This window comes from Homo sapiens, chromosome 11 (assembly GCF_000001405.40).
Source record: "Homo sapiens chromosome 11, GRCh38.p14 Primary Assembly".
Classification (NCBI taxonomy): Eukaryota; Metazoa; Chordata; class Mammalia; order Primates; family Hominidae; genus Homo; species Homo sapiens.
The window spans coordinates 87,152,266-87,169,330 of NC_000011.10; the positions used below are offsets into that span (position 1 = coordinate 87,152,266).

General features: G+C 36.4%; 1 protein-coding gene across 5 annotated transcripts in view; it reads left to right on the forward strand.

The window, feature by feature from the left end:
• TMEM135 (transmembrane protein 135) overlaps positions 1 to 17,065 on the forward strand; it is a 290,891-nt gene that overhangs the window by 114,332 nt on the left and 159,494 nt on the right. For 4 of the 5 annotated variants that reach the window (NR_033149.2, NM_022918.4, XM_017018141.3 and 1 more), the window contains one exon: positions 5,076 to 5,141. The exons of the other annotated variant lie outside the window; for it this stretch is intronic. Coding sequence is in view for 3 of the 4 variants with exons in the window: in NM_022918.4 (NP_075069.3) it covers positions 5,076 to 5,141 (66 nt within the window). In the remaining variant the exon portion in view is untranslated. The remainder of the gene's footprint in view (positions 1 to 5,075; positions 5,142 to 17,065) is intronic. 5 annotated transcript variants of the gene reach the window in all.

The following is a 17,065-nucleotide window of genomic DNA, read 5'->3' on the forward strand; positions in this document are numbered from 1 at the left end:
GGTTTATACTCTTTTATTTCCTTCTGTCATTTTTGTAGTATTTCTGGAGGGAGTAACGTTAAGTCTATATGTTCACTGTAGTATATTTAATGTAATGGCTTTTCTTCATTTTGAAATTCTTTACTCTTGAGAAATTGTTTACTCTTGACTTCTAGGATTTTATTTTTCTGGAATGCCTTCTGATTCTCAATGTTACTTTATTTTTTGAGACGGATTTTCACTCTTGACGCCCAGGCTGGGCTTGGCTCACTGCAACCTCCACCTCCTGGTTCAAGCGATTCTCCAGCCTCAGCCTTCCAAGCAGCTGGGATTACAGGCATGTGCCACCATGCCTGGCTGATTTTTTGTATTTTTAGTAGAGACGGGTTTCGCCATGTCGGTCAGGCTGGTCTCCAACTCCTGACCTCAGGCGCCCCACCCGCCTCGGCCTCCCAAGGTGCTGGGATTACAGGCATGAGCCACCGCATCCGGCCCTTATGTTATTTTTGAGTCTTCCCTGCTGTATCCTTTTCTTTTGCCTCATTTTATATGTTGTTATTTCCTATTATTCTTTTCTTCTGTTTAACTTTCTTGATTTGCCTCATCAAGTTTTCTGGTTATAATCAACTCTTTATACACTGATGACACCAAAATGATATTGATAGTTCTTACCTATACTCTGAGGTCCGGTTCCATAATATCTGTTAGGCATCTTTTTTTATGCATCTCCCACATATATCAGTTTCCTTACCTCTTCTCCAGTTCTCCACCTCTTGTACCCTTGGATTTTATTTGATGTATGTTTAGTTTTTAAATTTAAAATTCCGTGATGTTTCTAAGTTTATAAATTCTTAAAATTTATATTTAGTAGAGCATCCTTCAAATTACATATTTTTGATTATTAAAGGTTAGAAATGCATTCCTATTATGCCAGGCTAGAAAAATAAAAGCACATATTGAACAGAGGAACATGCACCCTATTCTTGTCTCAGCCATCATGCACTCTCAACCATCTCATGAAGTCTTTTTCCTTCAGCCCCACTGGCCATCTTATTTGTACTCAAACATGCCAAGTATGATCCTACCTACAGGCTCTTGTGGTCTTTTGACTAGAACCTTCTTTCCTCCAGTTTTCAAATTAGTTGATATATTGACATCTTGTAGAGGGGGTTTTGGCAAATAGTAGGTATCGAGTTATTGTCAGCAAGTATTACTGTCATTATCGTTGTAATATCCATACTGGCTATTCACTTTCTGGTTTCACTTAGTTTCCATTCAAATTATCTTCTCCTAAAAGAGGCCACCCTTGATTTACTCTATTTAAAATATCCCTTCTACCTCATTGTTATTCATATGCTTATTATGCTTAATTTTTTTCATTGCACATATTCACATGCATATGACTTATTTATTTCTGTAGTTATTTGCTTCCACTTTCCCCTAGATGTAAACTCCTTAAAAATAAGGGCATTGTCAAATTGACTCTATCGCTAATTCCTTCAATTTGCCCTTTACAGTGCTTATGAAATAATTGTTCGATAAATTCTAAACTAACCAATCAATATCCTTTTCTTTCTGTATATTACAGTGTTCTACACTGTATCAATGGATTTTCCATTAAGTACTCTTTAGATACAATCCTAAAGAATGTTTTATTAGGGTCTAAATCCTCAGCAGTTGTAAGATGGGGAAGCATTGGAAATAAGAATAACTATTTTTTTTAATTGTGGTAAAATATATACAATGTTAAGTTTACTGTTTTGGCCATTTTTCTGTGTACAGTTCACTGGCATTAAGTAAATTCACATTGTTGTGCGTTCACTACTACTATCCATCTCCAGAACTTTGTCATTAAACTGAAACTCTATGTCCATCATATAGTGCCTCCCCATTTCTCCTCTCTCAGCCTCTAGTAACCACTGTTCTACTTTCTGTCTCAATGAATTTCACTACTCTAGATACTTCATATAAGTGAATCATTCAGTATTTGTTGTTTTGCTTCTTGCTTAGTTCACTTAGCATAATATCTTCAGTGCTCATCCATGTTGTATACTATATCAGAATTTCATTCTTTTCTAAGTCTGAATAATACTCCATTGTATGTATATACCGTATTTTGTTTATTCATTTATTCATTGATGGACACTTGGGTTGCATCTACATCTAGGCTGTTGTAAATAATACTACTGTGAACATATGCAGATATCTCTTTGAGAGCCTACATTCAGTAGTTATGGATATATACCCAGAAGCAGGGTGGCTGGGTTGTATGATAATTCGATGTGTAAATTTTAAAGTAACTGCCTTACTGTTTTCCACAGTGGCTGTGCCATTTTTCATTCCTATCAGCAGTGTACAAGGGTTCCAATTTCTCCACATCCTTCTCAACACTTGATATCTTCTGTCTTTTTGATAATAGCCATTCTAATGGATGGGAAGTGGTATCTCACTGTGGTTTTGATTTGCATTTCCCTAATGATTAGTGATGTGGAGCATCATTTCATGTGCTTATTGGCTATTTGTATATGTTCTTTGGATAAATTTCTTCAAGTCCTTTGCCCAGTTTTTAATTGGGTTGTTTAGTTTTTGTTGTTGAGTAGTAGGAGTTCCTAATATACTCTGGATATTAACTCCTCATCAGATATGCAATTTGCAGGTGTTTTCTATTTCATGAGTTGTTTTTTAATTTTGTTGATAGAGTCCTTTGATGCACTAAAGTTTTTAATTTTTGGTGAAATCCAGTTTTATTTATTTATTTATTTATTTATTTAGAGACTGAGTTTCACTCTTGTTGCCCAGGCTGGAATGCAGTGGTGCGATCTTGGCTCACTGCAACCTCCGTCTCCCAAGTTCAAGTTATTCTCCTGCCTCAGCCTCCCGGGTAGCTGGGAGTACAGGCATGTGCCACCAAGCCCAGCTAATTTATGTGTTTTTAGTAGAGATGGGGTTTCACCACGTTGGCCAGGCTGGTCTCGAACTCCTGAACTCAGGTTATCCACCCGCCTCGGCCTCTCAAACTGTTGGGATTACAGGCGTGAGCCGCCATGCCCAGACTGTTTTTAGTTTTGTTGCTTGTGCTTTCGGTGTCATATTCAAGAAATCATTGTTAAATCTAATGTCATAAAGCTTTCCCCTTATGTTTTCTTTTAAGATTTTTATAGTTTTAGGTCTTAAATTTATGTCTTTGATCCATTTTGAGTTGATTTTTGTATATGGTAGAGGTAAAGGTCTAACTTCATTCTTTTATATGTGGATGTAACTGTAAGAGGTCCATTGCCCAATGTGTGCAGCAAGTCAGTACACCAAGACATCAGATTGTAGCAGAGAGAGATGTTTAAGTTTAGGGCCACTGACTGAGGAGATGAAAGGAAACCTCAAATCCATCTCCCTGTGGAATTTGGGGCTAGAGTTTTGAAGGCTTTTGGAGTGTGCCAGAGTTTGGAGATGGTTGGTTGGTCCAAGAGTGCAGGGTGAGATCATGGGACAGGGAGACAAAGGAACTGTATTCTCATGCTGATTTGGTTCCTCTTTGGGGATCTTTAAGTTGGTTGGTGTCAGCTGTTTTACTGGAATTCAGGATCTGTTTAAGTATTCCATATCTTGAATAAGCAAAAGCCTTATGATTCTAACATCAGAGACCCTATCTGTCTTAAAAAATGTCTTACAACCTTAGTGTCAGAAATTCTATCTATAGTAACAATGGGGATTCAAATGGACAGTATGTACTGTTTCTAGACTTTTTCTTACAAGGAAGTGGGTCAAAGTGCAGCTGATTTATGCTTAATTATAACTATATTTCTATTCAAAATTCTTGTTAAGCCTGTGAGGACAGTTTCATGGATTTCCAGTTTTTTAAAGTACTTTTGAAAAGATTGTCCTTTGTGCACTCAATAGTCTTATTACCCTGGTCAAATATCATTTGATCATATATGCAAGGTTTTATTTTTGGGTTCTCTGTTCTATTCCATTGTCTTAGATGTCCATCTTTATGATAGTACCACATATTTTTGATTACTGTAGGTTTGTAGTAAGTTTTAAATCCGAAAGTGAGTCCTTCAACTTTCTTCTTCTTTTTTCAAGTTTGTTTTGTTTATTTGGGGTCCCTTAACGTTCTATATGAATTTCAGGATGGATTTTTCTAGTTCTGCAACATGTGCCATTGGGATTTTAATAGGGATTGCATTGAATCTGTCGATCACTTTGGGTTGTATTGTCATCTTAATAATAAGTATTCCAAACCATGAGCACAGGATGTCTTTTTATTTATTTGTGTCTTCTTCAATTTCTTTCAGCAATGTTTTGTTGTCTTCAGATTACAAGTCTTTCACTTCCTTGTTTTATTTTTCCCTAGGAGTTTTTTTTTATGCTGTTGTAAATGGAATTGTTTTCTTAATTTCCTTTTCTGATTGTTCATTGTTAGTGTATAGTGAGCAATAACTATTTTGGTGTGTCACCTAATATATGACATTACTAAATTACTTTATCTCCTGTCTCTATATTAGTAGCAGATAAGTGATTTGAACTAAATTCAAATGGAAACTAAATTCAGAATAAATGATAACTTCCAAGTTGAATTTAAATGCTACATTTGAACTTAATTTTTGTTCATTAAACTAAGGTTTAAACTTGTCTAAGCAAACTAATTCGAAACTATAGTCCTGGAAGAATACCAGATTATCAAAATAACCATTTGAAACAATTAAGTTTGAGCTCTTAAAAGATTGTGATTATGATATTTCTGGGGTACAATTTATAACTTCTAGCTCTTATTGTGCCTTGTAGATGGTTCTCTAGTTGCGTTGCATTTCTTTTCTTTCTTTCTTTCTTTTGTTTTTTTTTTTTTTTAGACAGGGTCTCACTCTGTCATCTAGGCAGTGGCTCAATCATAGCTCACTGTAGCCTTGAACTCCTGGACTCAAGTGATCCTCTTGCCTGAGTAGCTAGGACTATAGGCATATACAACTTATTGATCGTTCTCTAGAAGTTGCTGGATATATAATAGTATTGAATGTTTTTCACATTTAGGGTGTGGGATATACAATTGAGGAGAGATTGTAGATCATATATTTTTGCTGTTTTTTTTTTTTAATTTACAGGCCACAGAAACACTATTCAGAATGGGTGTAGCAAGAGGAACCATCACAACATTAAGAAATGGAGAAGTAAGATGAGAATTTTGATATAGTTATTAGTTGTTAATTTATAGTTTGCGATTTTAAAATATAAAATGTGATGAAATCTATGATGCTTTGTCTAAGAAATAGAGAGATATCTGATGTATATAATATTGAGTGTACCTGATGAACAAATCCATTTTAATTCATAGTCATGTTGGAACCAGATCTTAGATTGAAAACAAATTACTGTCTTTTTACCTTTAGTTATCAAATATCTTTACTCTTAAAAAATGACATTTTATTAGTAACTTCTACAAATGTTTGTAATGAAAAAAAGAATTCCTTAGCTTTTGCTTTCTTTCTATTTTGTGTTATACAGAACTGATACTTATTTCTTAAGATAAAATAATCGGAAATGTTGAACATTTACTACACGTGGAGAGAAGGGAAGGAAGAGGGAGAGGGAGAGGGAGAAAAAAGCTGGAGAGGATTTTGTCTGCAGATGCTAAGTTTTGACTTTTTAAAATGCTCCTGTCAATCCTTTAGAAGATTTTTCTATCACCTCACATACATTTTCATGTTAAAATTATTACCAGCTTGATTACCACTTTGTCTGCTCTTTCTTTATTTTCTCCTTTACTAAGACAAATTTAGGTTGAGGTCGAATGTAACACCAAATTGTTATGTTCCTTTTTCTATTCTAATGGCAAATACTTAAGGATAAAATACAGAAATCCCTATTTTTGAGGAGATGGGGTCTTGCTATGTTGCTTAGGCTGGTCTTGAACTCCTGGCCTCAAGCGATTATCCTGCCTTTACCTCACAGAGTGCCGGCATTACAGGCATGAGCCACCATGCCTAGCCCTTAGAATTCCCTATTCTTGAATTAAGTTTGATGTTATTTAATGTAATATTTATAATTCAGAAACCTAAATATTTAGTAGTGGAAGTGAGTATCTAAGGAGTTAAACAGAATTGTATTACTTCATGACTATAAATGTGTTGGTTGATGTATTTGCTCATTAGGCAGAAATGTGCCAACATTTGAAAAGTATGTACACTCTAAATATTTAATTATATATTTGCAAATCACCTTGGTATAATTTTTTTTTTTTTTTGAGACAGAGTCTCACTCTGTCACCCAGGCTGGAGTGCAGTGTCATGATCTTGGCTTACTACAAGCTCTGCCTCCCAGGTACATGCCATTCTCCTGCCTCAGCCTCCCAAGTAGCTGGGACTACAGGTGCCCGCCACAACGCCCGGCTAATTTTTTGTATTTTTTTTACTACAGACGAGGTTTCACCATGTTAGCCAGGATGGTCTCGATCTCCTGACCTCGTACTCCGCCCGTCTTGGCCTCCCAAAGTGCTGGGATTACAGGCGTGAGCCACCGCGCCCGGCCTAACCTTGGTATAATTTATAAAGTATATTTTGTCTATACAGAAAGACTTAATTGATCCCTTTGTATTCTCAAACATTGAAGTATGTGGTGTCATTTTGAAAAAAGAAAACTTACAGCAATAAGGTCAGATGTAGTAATCTGCCTATGATGTCTAAAAATGAATTTCAGATTTTAGTAATTACTATATATTTTTTTCATAGGGTGGGCAATGAACTGTTGAACTTATCTTCTTTTATAGGATGGTTAGGGAAATGTATGCAGCACAGCTGTATAAGTAATCACCTGAGCATATCAACGCATTGGATATATACTTATTTTACTTAATAGGCAGGAAATAGTTAAAATAGCTGGCTTTTGATCAATTTTTCTACTAATTATTAGGTGTTGTTCCATGTGGCCAACCTGGTTAACAAGTATTAGTGTCAGACAAAGTGTTTAAGCACTCTCTGACCTTCAGTTTCTATAATGAGGTTAAAAGTGTAAGATGTACATATATTTCTTACATTTTAAGAGCTCTGAAAATGGAATGTGTCTTCTAATTAATGGCACCTCATAGTTACCATCTGCTATTCTTCACATTTTAATGTCTCTAAAATTAGGAAATTTCTTTTTTTCCCCACTGACTTTTTTGGTTCTCAGGAAATTTGTCTGTGGTATGTCAGGGTTGATAAAATAATATTTTGTGGTTTAAAAAGTATAGAGTGATGTGTAGCATGCATTCATTAAATGGTAGTTAGGATAGGCCACTAATTAGTTTTAATTTAATGATTTGATTTTTGGAAGTAGAGGAGACAAAACAAATCAAAGATACTACTGAATACACACACGCGCACACACACACACACACACACACACCATAGATTTTCCGAGACGGTTGGCTAAATGCTATGGAAATGGGTGCTATGATTCCTGACTTTAGAGGAGCTTACTCTCTGGTCGGGGAAACAATTCTATCAATAATTGGAAAAAGGAAAAAGTCTGGGAGAGTGTGGAAATAGTTTAAGTTGAGTCTGGAACTAACCAGTGTCCAGATTCTACTTGGATTGTGCTAAATTTAAACTGTGTTTTAGTATAAGAACAATGGTAGATAATCTGTTTGAGAGTAGGAGTAAACTAAAAGGTTAATAATTTAAAGGATTATTTAAAATACAACCTGAAATCATTGTATTTATCAATATTGGAAAATTTATAATATGCTAAGGGAGGAGAGCAGCAAGTGGTTAATTTATTTGTCCTAGGGCATTTAAAAAAATGTGCTAGGCCAGTACTGCGAAAATATTTGTTAAGCGGGGATTCATAGGTAGCCTCATGACAAGTGTATCAGGTAAGAGAAAAAAAGTTGGTATATCCAAATTACAAAAATATCAGTCTTTCAGTGAATTTATCCAGATACATGATGACAATAAACTTTGCATGTGTTTCCTCCTCCCTGTTCTGGCTTTAATGCTGTATTTTGTGTACTTACTGGACATTTCTGCTTAGATATTTGAAGAAATTTTGAAATGGGAGAAGATTTTCCGCTCTCTGAAAGTAAGATAGTCTTTGAAGGTGTTTGAAACTTATTTTATAGGTTATAGTGTATTATAGGAGGTCTTAAGCAGAGGAGTGATACTTTATCTTTTAAAAATCCTCCTTTTAACTCTCCAAGGGAGAAATTACACTGGTCATCTTATAGATGAACTGAGGCTCAGAGAAGTTAAACATTTTGCCTGTGGTCAAATAGCTAGGAAATTGGAGAGCTAGGATTTGAACCCTTGTCTCCAAAGTTCATTGATTCTACTATGCAATATAATTGCCCTGAATGTACAGTAATTCACTTACTTAGACTAGAGTTTCCTAATTTTTATTAGCTGTAGGTAATTATTATTAGTTTGACAGTTGAAAAATAACATTGCAGTTAAAGTTTCCAAGATAATCAGCAATGACTTTTATGCATTCTAATTATTACTATTATCTTTTCATGTTCACAGAATAATATATGGCTTAAAATGAATAGGAAAAAAATACCCTTCACAAATCTATTACCTCATTAAATGTTTAACTATGGTGATGTTCTTTATAAAGTCCTGTATAAGGAGTAGCTGGACCTTTGTGCATTAATTGACTCACATAAGCTGGAAAGGAGATCATTTTTCTGTGTTGAATTTTGTTTTTGAGATGGAGTCTCACTCTCTCGCCCAGACTGGGGTGCAGTGGTGCAATCTAGGCTCACTGCAACCTCTGCCTCCCAGGTTCAAGTGATTCTCCTGCCTCAGCCTCCTGAGTAGTTGGGACCACATGCATCCACTACCACACCTGACTAATTTTTGTTTTTTTAGTAGAGATGGGGTTTCACCATGTTGGCCAGCATGGTCTCCATCTCTTGACCTCGTGATCTGCCCTCTTCCGCCTCCCAAAGTGTTGGAATTACAGGCATGAGCCGCTGTGCCTGGCCTGGGTTGAATTTTTTAAATGGGTTTCCCTATTTGAGGGGCTAACTTTTAAAATAATCATTAAAATTAATGAATGAACTGCAGATTCAATAATCAGTAGTTATTGAATGTGCTTGGTTCAAAAGTGGTATTTTTCTATTTCTGACAGAAAGATGTAGTTCTGTCTTCTGCCTTCTGGGTGTTTGTGTTTAGGGTGAAACAAGTACTTTGTTAGAAGATAAGGTTACTCTCTTAAATTTATATATTTTAAAAATTATCTCTTTTCTCATATAACTTGAGACTAAAGCAGAAATTGGTGTTTTTTCATTTGGTTTTTCTTAATCTCAATTTTTGAAAGAGAACAAAGTTTAACAATTCTTTACCATAGGAAGGCAGGATTTCAAACCCTGCTTCTTAATTAAATCATTTAGTTTCTTTTTATCAGCTGATACCATATATCTTTCTTACAGCAGTGACAGAGAGTCACTGAGAACATGTAATGAACAAGCTAAGTGACTTCTGTAGCCAGTGAGTTGATTTGTCTATTGTGGCTCTATTGTTTGAATTTTTAAAATTTTTAAAATACCAGACATATCTATTTTCATTTACTCAGGCATTTAAAATTTTCATATATTTGTGTTTAGCATTATATTTGGAGTTTTAGAGAGATTCATGAATGGAAAGAGAAATATACCTGCCTGTTAATTCAGCAAGAATTTATTGAACAGTTCTATATTCCTGACATTGTTTTAGATGCCTGTGATGCATCAATGAATAAAACTGGCCGGTATCTCTAGCCTTGGGGAGCTTATAATCTAGCCTATTAATAGCTCATGTTCTAATTATGAAAGAAAATAAAAAACATGCACAACAATTAGGTAGTAATTGCAGTTACTAAACTTCAAAAGAATAAGCAAGTATATGGATTAAAAGCTCAGGTAATTTAAATAATAAAGAAATAAATGACTAATTAAAGTGGGGTTCAATTAATTCAGAAGATGTCTTAAAGGAGGTATATCTTTTATTTTTTTTTGGAGAGTTTATTAAATAATTTTTTTTTATTATACTTTAAGTTCTGGGATACATGTGCAGAACGTGCAGGTTTGTTGCATAGGTATACACGTGCCATGGTAGTTTGATGCACCCATCAACCCGTCATCTACATTAGTTATTTCTTCTAATGCTATCCCTCCCCTAGCCCTCCAACGCCCGACAGGCCCCAGTGTTTGATGTTTCCCTCCCTGTGTCCATGTGTTCTCATTGTTCAACTCCCATTTATGAGTGAGAACATTTGGTGTTTGGTTTTCTGTTCCTGTGTTAGTTTGCTGAGAATGATGGTTTCCAGCTTCATCTGTGTCCCTGCAAAGGACATGAAGTCATCCCTTTTATGGCTGCATAGTATTCCATGGTGTGTATGTGCCACATTTTCTTTATCCAGTCTATCACTTATGGGCATTTGGGTTGTTTCCAAGTCTTTGCTATTGTGAACAGTGCTGCAATTAACATACGTGTACATGTGTCTTTATAGTAGAGTGATTTATAATCCTTCATGTATATGCCCATTAATGGGATTGCTGGGTCAAATGGTATTTCTGGTTCTAGATCCTTAAGGAATCGCCACACTGTCTTCCACAATGGTTGAACTAATTTACACTTCCACCAACAGTGTAAAAGCATTCCTATTTCTCCACATCCTCTCCAGCATCTGTTGTTTCCTGACTTTTTAATGATCGCCATTCTAACTGGCGTAAGATGGTATCTTATTGTGGTTTTGATTTGCATTTCTCTAATGACCAGTGATGATGAGCTTTTTTTCATGTTTGCTGGCCTTATAAATGTCTTCTTTTTTTTTTTTAATTTTTTTATTTTTATTTTATTATACATTAAGTTTTAGGGTACATGTGCACATTGTGCAGGTTAGTTACATATGTATACATGTGCCATGCTGGTGCACTGCACCCACTAACTCCTCATCTAGCATTAGGTATATCTCCCAATGCTATCCCTCCCCCCTCCCCCGACCCCACCACAGTCCCCGGAGTGTGATATTCCCCTTCCTGTGTCCATGTGATCTCATTGTTCAATTCCCACCTATGAGTGAGAATATGCGGTGTTTGGTTTTTTGTTCTTGCGATAGTTTACTGAGAATGATGATTTCCAATTTCATCCATGTCCCTACAAAGGACATGAACTCATCATTTTTTATGGCTGCATAGTATTCCATGGTGTATATGTGCCACATTTTCTGAATCCAGTCTATCATTGTTGGACATTTGGGTTGGTTCCAAGTCTTTGCTATTGTGAATAATGCTGCAATAAACATAAGTGTGCATGTGTCTTTATAGCAGCATGATTTATAGTCCTTTGGGTATGTACCCAGTAATGGGATGGCTGGGTCAAATGGTATTTCCAGTTCTAGATCCCTGAGGAATTGCCACACTGACTTCCACAATGGTTGAACTAATTTACAGTCCCACCAACAGTGTAAAAGTGTTCCTATTTCTCCACATCCTCTCCAGCACCTGTTGTTTCCTGACTTTTTAATGATTGCCATTCTAACTGGTGTGAGATGGTATCTCACTGTGGTTTTGATTTGCATTTCTCTGATGGCCAGTGATGATGAGCATTTTTTCATGTGTTTTTTGCCTGCATAAATGTCTTCTTTTGAGAAGTGTCTGTTCATGTCCTTCGCCCACTTTTTGATGGGGTTGTTTGTTTTTTTCTTGTAAATTTGTTTGAATTCATTGTAGATTCTGGATATTAGCCCTTTGTCAGATGAGTAGGTTGCGAAAATTTTCTCCCATTTTGTAGGATGCCTGTTCACTCTGATGGTAGTTTCTTTTGCTGTGCAGAAGCTCTTTAGTTTAATCAGATCCCATTTGTCAATTTTGTCTTTTGTTGCCATTGCTTTTGGTGTTTTAGACATGAAGTCCTTGCCCATGCCTATGTCCTGAATGGTAATGCCTAGGTTTTCTTCTAGGGTTTTTATGGTTTTAGGTCTAACGTTTAAGTCTTTAATCCATCTTGAATTGATTTTTGTATAAGGTGTAAGAAAGGGATCCAGTTTCAGCTTTCTACATATGGCTAGCCAGTTTTCCCAGCACCATTTATTAAATAGGGAATCCTTTCCCCATTGCTTGTTTTTCTCAGGTTTGTCAAAGATCAGATAGTTGTAGATATGCGGCGTTATTTCTGAGGACTCTGTTCTGTTCCATTGATCTATATCTCTGTTTTGGTACCAGTACCATGCTGTTTTGGTTACTGTAGCCTTGTAGTATAGTTTGAAGTCAGGTAGTGTGATGCCTCCAGCTTTGTTCTTTTGGCTTAGGATTGACTTGGCGATGCGGGCTCTTTTTTGGTTCCATATGAACTTTAAAGTAGTTTTTTCCAATTCTGTGAAGAAAGGCATTGGTAGCTTGATGGGGATGGCATTGAATCTGTAAATTACCTTGGGCAGTATGGCCGTTTTCACGATATTGATTCTTCCTGCCCATGAGCATGGAATGTTCTTCCATTTGTTTGTGTCCTCTTTTATTTCCTTGAGCAGTGGTTTGTAGTTCTCCTTGAAGAGGTCCTTCACATCCCTTGTAAGTTGGATTCCTAGGTATTTTATTCTCTTTGAAGCAATTGTGAATGGGAGTTCACTCATGATTTGGCTCTCTGTTTGTCTGTTGTTGGTGTATAAGAATGCTTGTGATTTTTGTACATTGATTTTGTATCCTGAGACTTTGCTGAAGTTGCTTATCAGCTTAAGGAGATTTTGGGCTGAGACAATGGGGTTTTCTAGATAAACAATCATGTCGTCTGCAAACAGGGACAATTTGACTTCCTCTTTTCCTAATTGAATACCCTTTATTTCCTTCTCCTGCCTGATTGCCCTGGCCAGAACTTCCAACACTATGTTGAATAGGAGCGGTGAGAGAGGACATCCCTGTCTTGTGCCAGTTTTCAAAGGGAATGCTTCCAGTTTTTGCCCATTCAGTATGATATTGGCTGTGGGTTTGTCATAGATAGCTCTTATTATTTTGAGATACGTCCCATCAATACCTAATTTATTGAGAGTTTTTAGCATGAAGGGTTGTTGAATTTTGTCAAAGGCTTTTTCTGCATCGATTGAGATAATCATGTGGTTTTTGTCTTTGGCTCTGTTTATATGCTGGATTACATTTATTGATTTGCGTATATTGAACCAGCCTTGCATCTCAGGGATGAAGCCCACTTGATCATGGTGGATAAGCTTTTTGATGTGCTGCTGGATTCGGTTTGCCAGTATTTTATTGAGGATTTTTGCATCAATGTTCATCAAGGATATTGGTCTAAAATTCTCTTTTTTTGTTGTGTCTCTGCCTGGCTTTGGTATCAGAATGATGCTGGCCTCATAAAATGAGTTAGGGAGGATTCCCTCTTTTTCTATTGATTGGAATAGTTTCAGAAGGAATGGTACCAGTTCCTCCTTGTACCTCTGGTAGAATTCAGCTGTGAATCCATCTGGTCCTGGACTCTTTACTAGAAAAGCAAGAGCAAATACATTCAAAAGCTAGCAGAAGGCAAGAAATAACTAAAATCAGAGCAGAACTGAAGGAAATAGAGACACAAAAAACCCTTCAAAAAGTAAATGAATCCAGGAGCTGTTTTTTTGAAAGGATCAATAAAATTGATAGACCGCTAGTAAGACTAATAAAGAAAAAAGAGAGAAGAATCTAATAGACGCAATAAAAAATGATAAAGGGGATATCACCACCGATCCCACAGAAATACAAACTACCATCAGAGAATACTACAAACACCTCTACGCGAATGAACTAGAAAATCTAGAAGAAATGGATAAATTCCTTGACACATACACTCTCCCAAGACTAAACCAGGAAGAAGTTGAATCTCTGAATAGACCAATAACAGGATCTGAAATTGTGGCAATAATCAATAGCTTACCAACCAAATGTCTTCTTTTGAGAAGTGTCTGTTCATGTCCTTTGGCCACTTTTTGATGGGGCTGTTTGTTTTTTTCTTGTAAATTTATTTAAGTATTAGCCCCTTGTTAGATGGATAGATTGTAGAAATTTTCTCCCATTCTGTAGGTTGCCTGTTTGCTCTGATGATAGTTTATTTTGCTGTGCAGAAACTCTTTAGTTTAATTTGATGCTATTTTCAATTTTGGCTTTTGTTGCCATTGCTTTTGGTGGTTTAGCCATGAAGTCTTTGCCCATGGCTATGTCCTGAATGGTATTGCTTAGGTTTTCTTCTAGGGTTTTTATGGTTTTAGGTCTTACGTTTAAGTCTTTAATCCATCTCGAGTTAATTTTTGTTTAATGTATAAGGAAGGGGTCCAGTTTCAGTTTTCTGCATATGGCTAGCCAGTTTTCCCAACACCATTTATTAAATAGGGAATCCTTTTCCCATTGCTTGCTTTTGTCAGGTTAGTCAAAGATCAGATAGTTGTAGATGTGTGGCGTTATTTCTGAGGCCTCTGTTCTGTTCCATTGGCCTATATATCTGTTTTGGTACCAGTACCATGCTGTTTTGATTACTGTGGCCTTGTAGTATAGTTTGAAGTAAGGTAGTGTGATGCCTCCAGTTTTGTTCTTTTTGCTTAGGATTGTCTTGGCTATATGGGCTATTTTTTGGTTCCATATGAAATTTAAAGTAGTTTTTTCTAATTCTGTGAAGAAAGTCAATGGTAGCTTGATGGGGATAGCATTGAATCTGTAAATTACTTTGGGCAATATGGCCATTTTCACAATATTACTTCTTCCTATCCATGAGCATGGAATATTTTTTCCATTCGTTTGTGTCATCTCTTATTTCCTTGAGCAGTGGTTTCTGGATCTCTTTGAAGAGGTCCTTCTTATCCCTTGTAAGTTGTATTCCTAGGTGTTTTATTCTCTTTGTAGCAATTGTGAATGGGCATTTGCTCAAGATTTGGCGTTCTCTTTGTCTGTTATCAATGTGTAGGAATGCTTGTGATTTTTGCACCTTGATTTTGTATCCTGAGACTTTGCTAAGTTGCCTGTCAGCTTAAGGAGATTTTGGGCTGAGACGATGGGGTTTTCTAAATATACAATTATGTCATCTGCAAACAGAGATAATTTGACTTCCTCTCTTCCTATTTGAGTACGCTTTATTTCTTTCTCTTGCCGGATTGCCCTGGCCAGAACTTCCAATACTATGTTGAATAGGAGTGGTGAGAGAGAGGGCATCTTTGTCTTGTGCCCATTTTCAAAGAGAATGCTTCCAGCTTTTGCCCAGTTAGTATGATATTGTCTGTGGGTTTGTCATAAATAGCTCTTATTATTTTGAGATATGATCCATCAATACCTAGTTTCTTGAGTGCTTTTAGCATGAAGCGGTGTTGAGTTTTATCAAAGGCCTTTTCTGCATCTATTGGGATAATCATGTGGTTTTTGCCATTGGTTCTGTTTATGTGATGGAGTACGTTTATTGATTTGTGTATGTTGAACCAGCCTTGCATCCCAGGGATGAAGCTGACTTGATCATGGTGGATAAGCTTTTTGATGTGGTGCTGGATTTGGTCTGCCAGTATTTTATTGAGGATTTTCGCATCGATGTTCATCAGGGATATTGGCCTGAAATTTCCTTTTTTTTGTTGTGTCTCTGCCACGTTTTGGTATCAGGATGATGCTGGCCTCATACAATGAGTTGAGGAGGAGTACCTCTTTTTGTATTCATCAGAATAGTTTCAGAAGGAATAGTACGAGCTCCTCTTTGTACCTCTGGTAGAATTCAGGTGTGAATCTGTCAGGTCCTGGGCTTTTTTTGGGTGGCAGGCTATTAATTACTGCCTCAATTTCAGAACTTGTTATTGGTCTAGTCAGGGATTCAACTTCTTCCTGGTTTAGTCTTGGGAGGGTGTATGTGTCCAGGAATTTATCCATTTCTTCTAGATTTTCTAGTTTATTTGCATAGAGGTGTTTCTAGTATTCTCTGATGGTAGTTTGTATTTCTGTGGGATCAATGGTGATATCTCTTTTATCTTTTTTTATTGTGTCTATTTTATTCTTGTCTCTTTCGTTCTTTATTAGTCTGGCTCTGGTCTATTTTGTTAATCTTGTCAAAAAACCAGCTCCTGGATTCATTGATTTTTCGAAGGGTTTTTTGTATCTCTATCTCCTTCAGTTCTGCTCTGATCTTAGTTGTTTCTTGTCTTCTACTTGCTTTTGAATTTGTTAGCTTTTGCTTTTCTAGTTCTTTTAATTGTGATATTAGGGTGTTGATTTTAGATCTTTCCCACGTGCTTCTGTGGGCATTTGGTGCTATAAATTTCCCTCTAAAGACTCCTTTAGCTGTGTCCCAGAGATTCTGGTACGTTGTGTCTTTGTTCTCATTGGTTTCAAAGAACTTATTTATTTCTGCCTTACTTTCATTATTTACCGAGTAGTCATACAGGAGCAGGTTGTTCAGTTTCCACTTAGTTGTGCGGTTTTAAGGGAGTTTCTTAATCCTGAGTTCTAATTTGATTGCATTGTGGTCTCAGAGACTGTTTGTTATGATTTCCATTCTTTTGCATTTGCTGAGGAGTGTTTTACTTCTAATTATCTGGTCAATTTTAGAAGAAGTTCTATGTGGTGCTGAGAAGAATGTATGTTCTGTTGATTTGGGTTGGAGATTTCTGTAGATGTCTATTAAGTCACTTGGTCCAGAGCTGAGTTCAAGTCCTGGATATCCTTGTTAATTTTCTGTCTCGTTGATCTAATATGGACGATGAGGTGTTAAACTCTCCCACTATTATTGTGTGGGAGTCTAAGTCTCTTTGTAGGTCTCTAAGGACTTGCTTTATGAATCTGGGTGCTCCTGTATTGGGTGCATATATATTTAGGATAGTTAACTCATCTTGTTGCACTGATCCCTTTGCCATTATGTAATGCCCTTCTTTGTCTCTTTTGATCTTTGTTGGTTTAAAGTCTGTTTTATCAGAGACTAGGATTGCAAACCTTGCTTTTTTTTGCTTTCCATTTACTCTGTAAATTCTTCCTCCATCCCTTTATTTTGAGCCTATGTGTGTCTTTGCACGTGAGATGGGACTCCTGAACACAGCACACTGATGGGTCTTGACTCTTTATCTAGTTTGCCAGTCTGTGTCTTTTAATTGGGGCATTTAGCCCATTTACATTTAAGGTTAATATTGTTATGTGTGAATT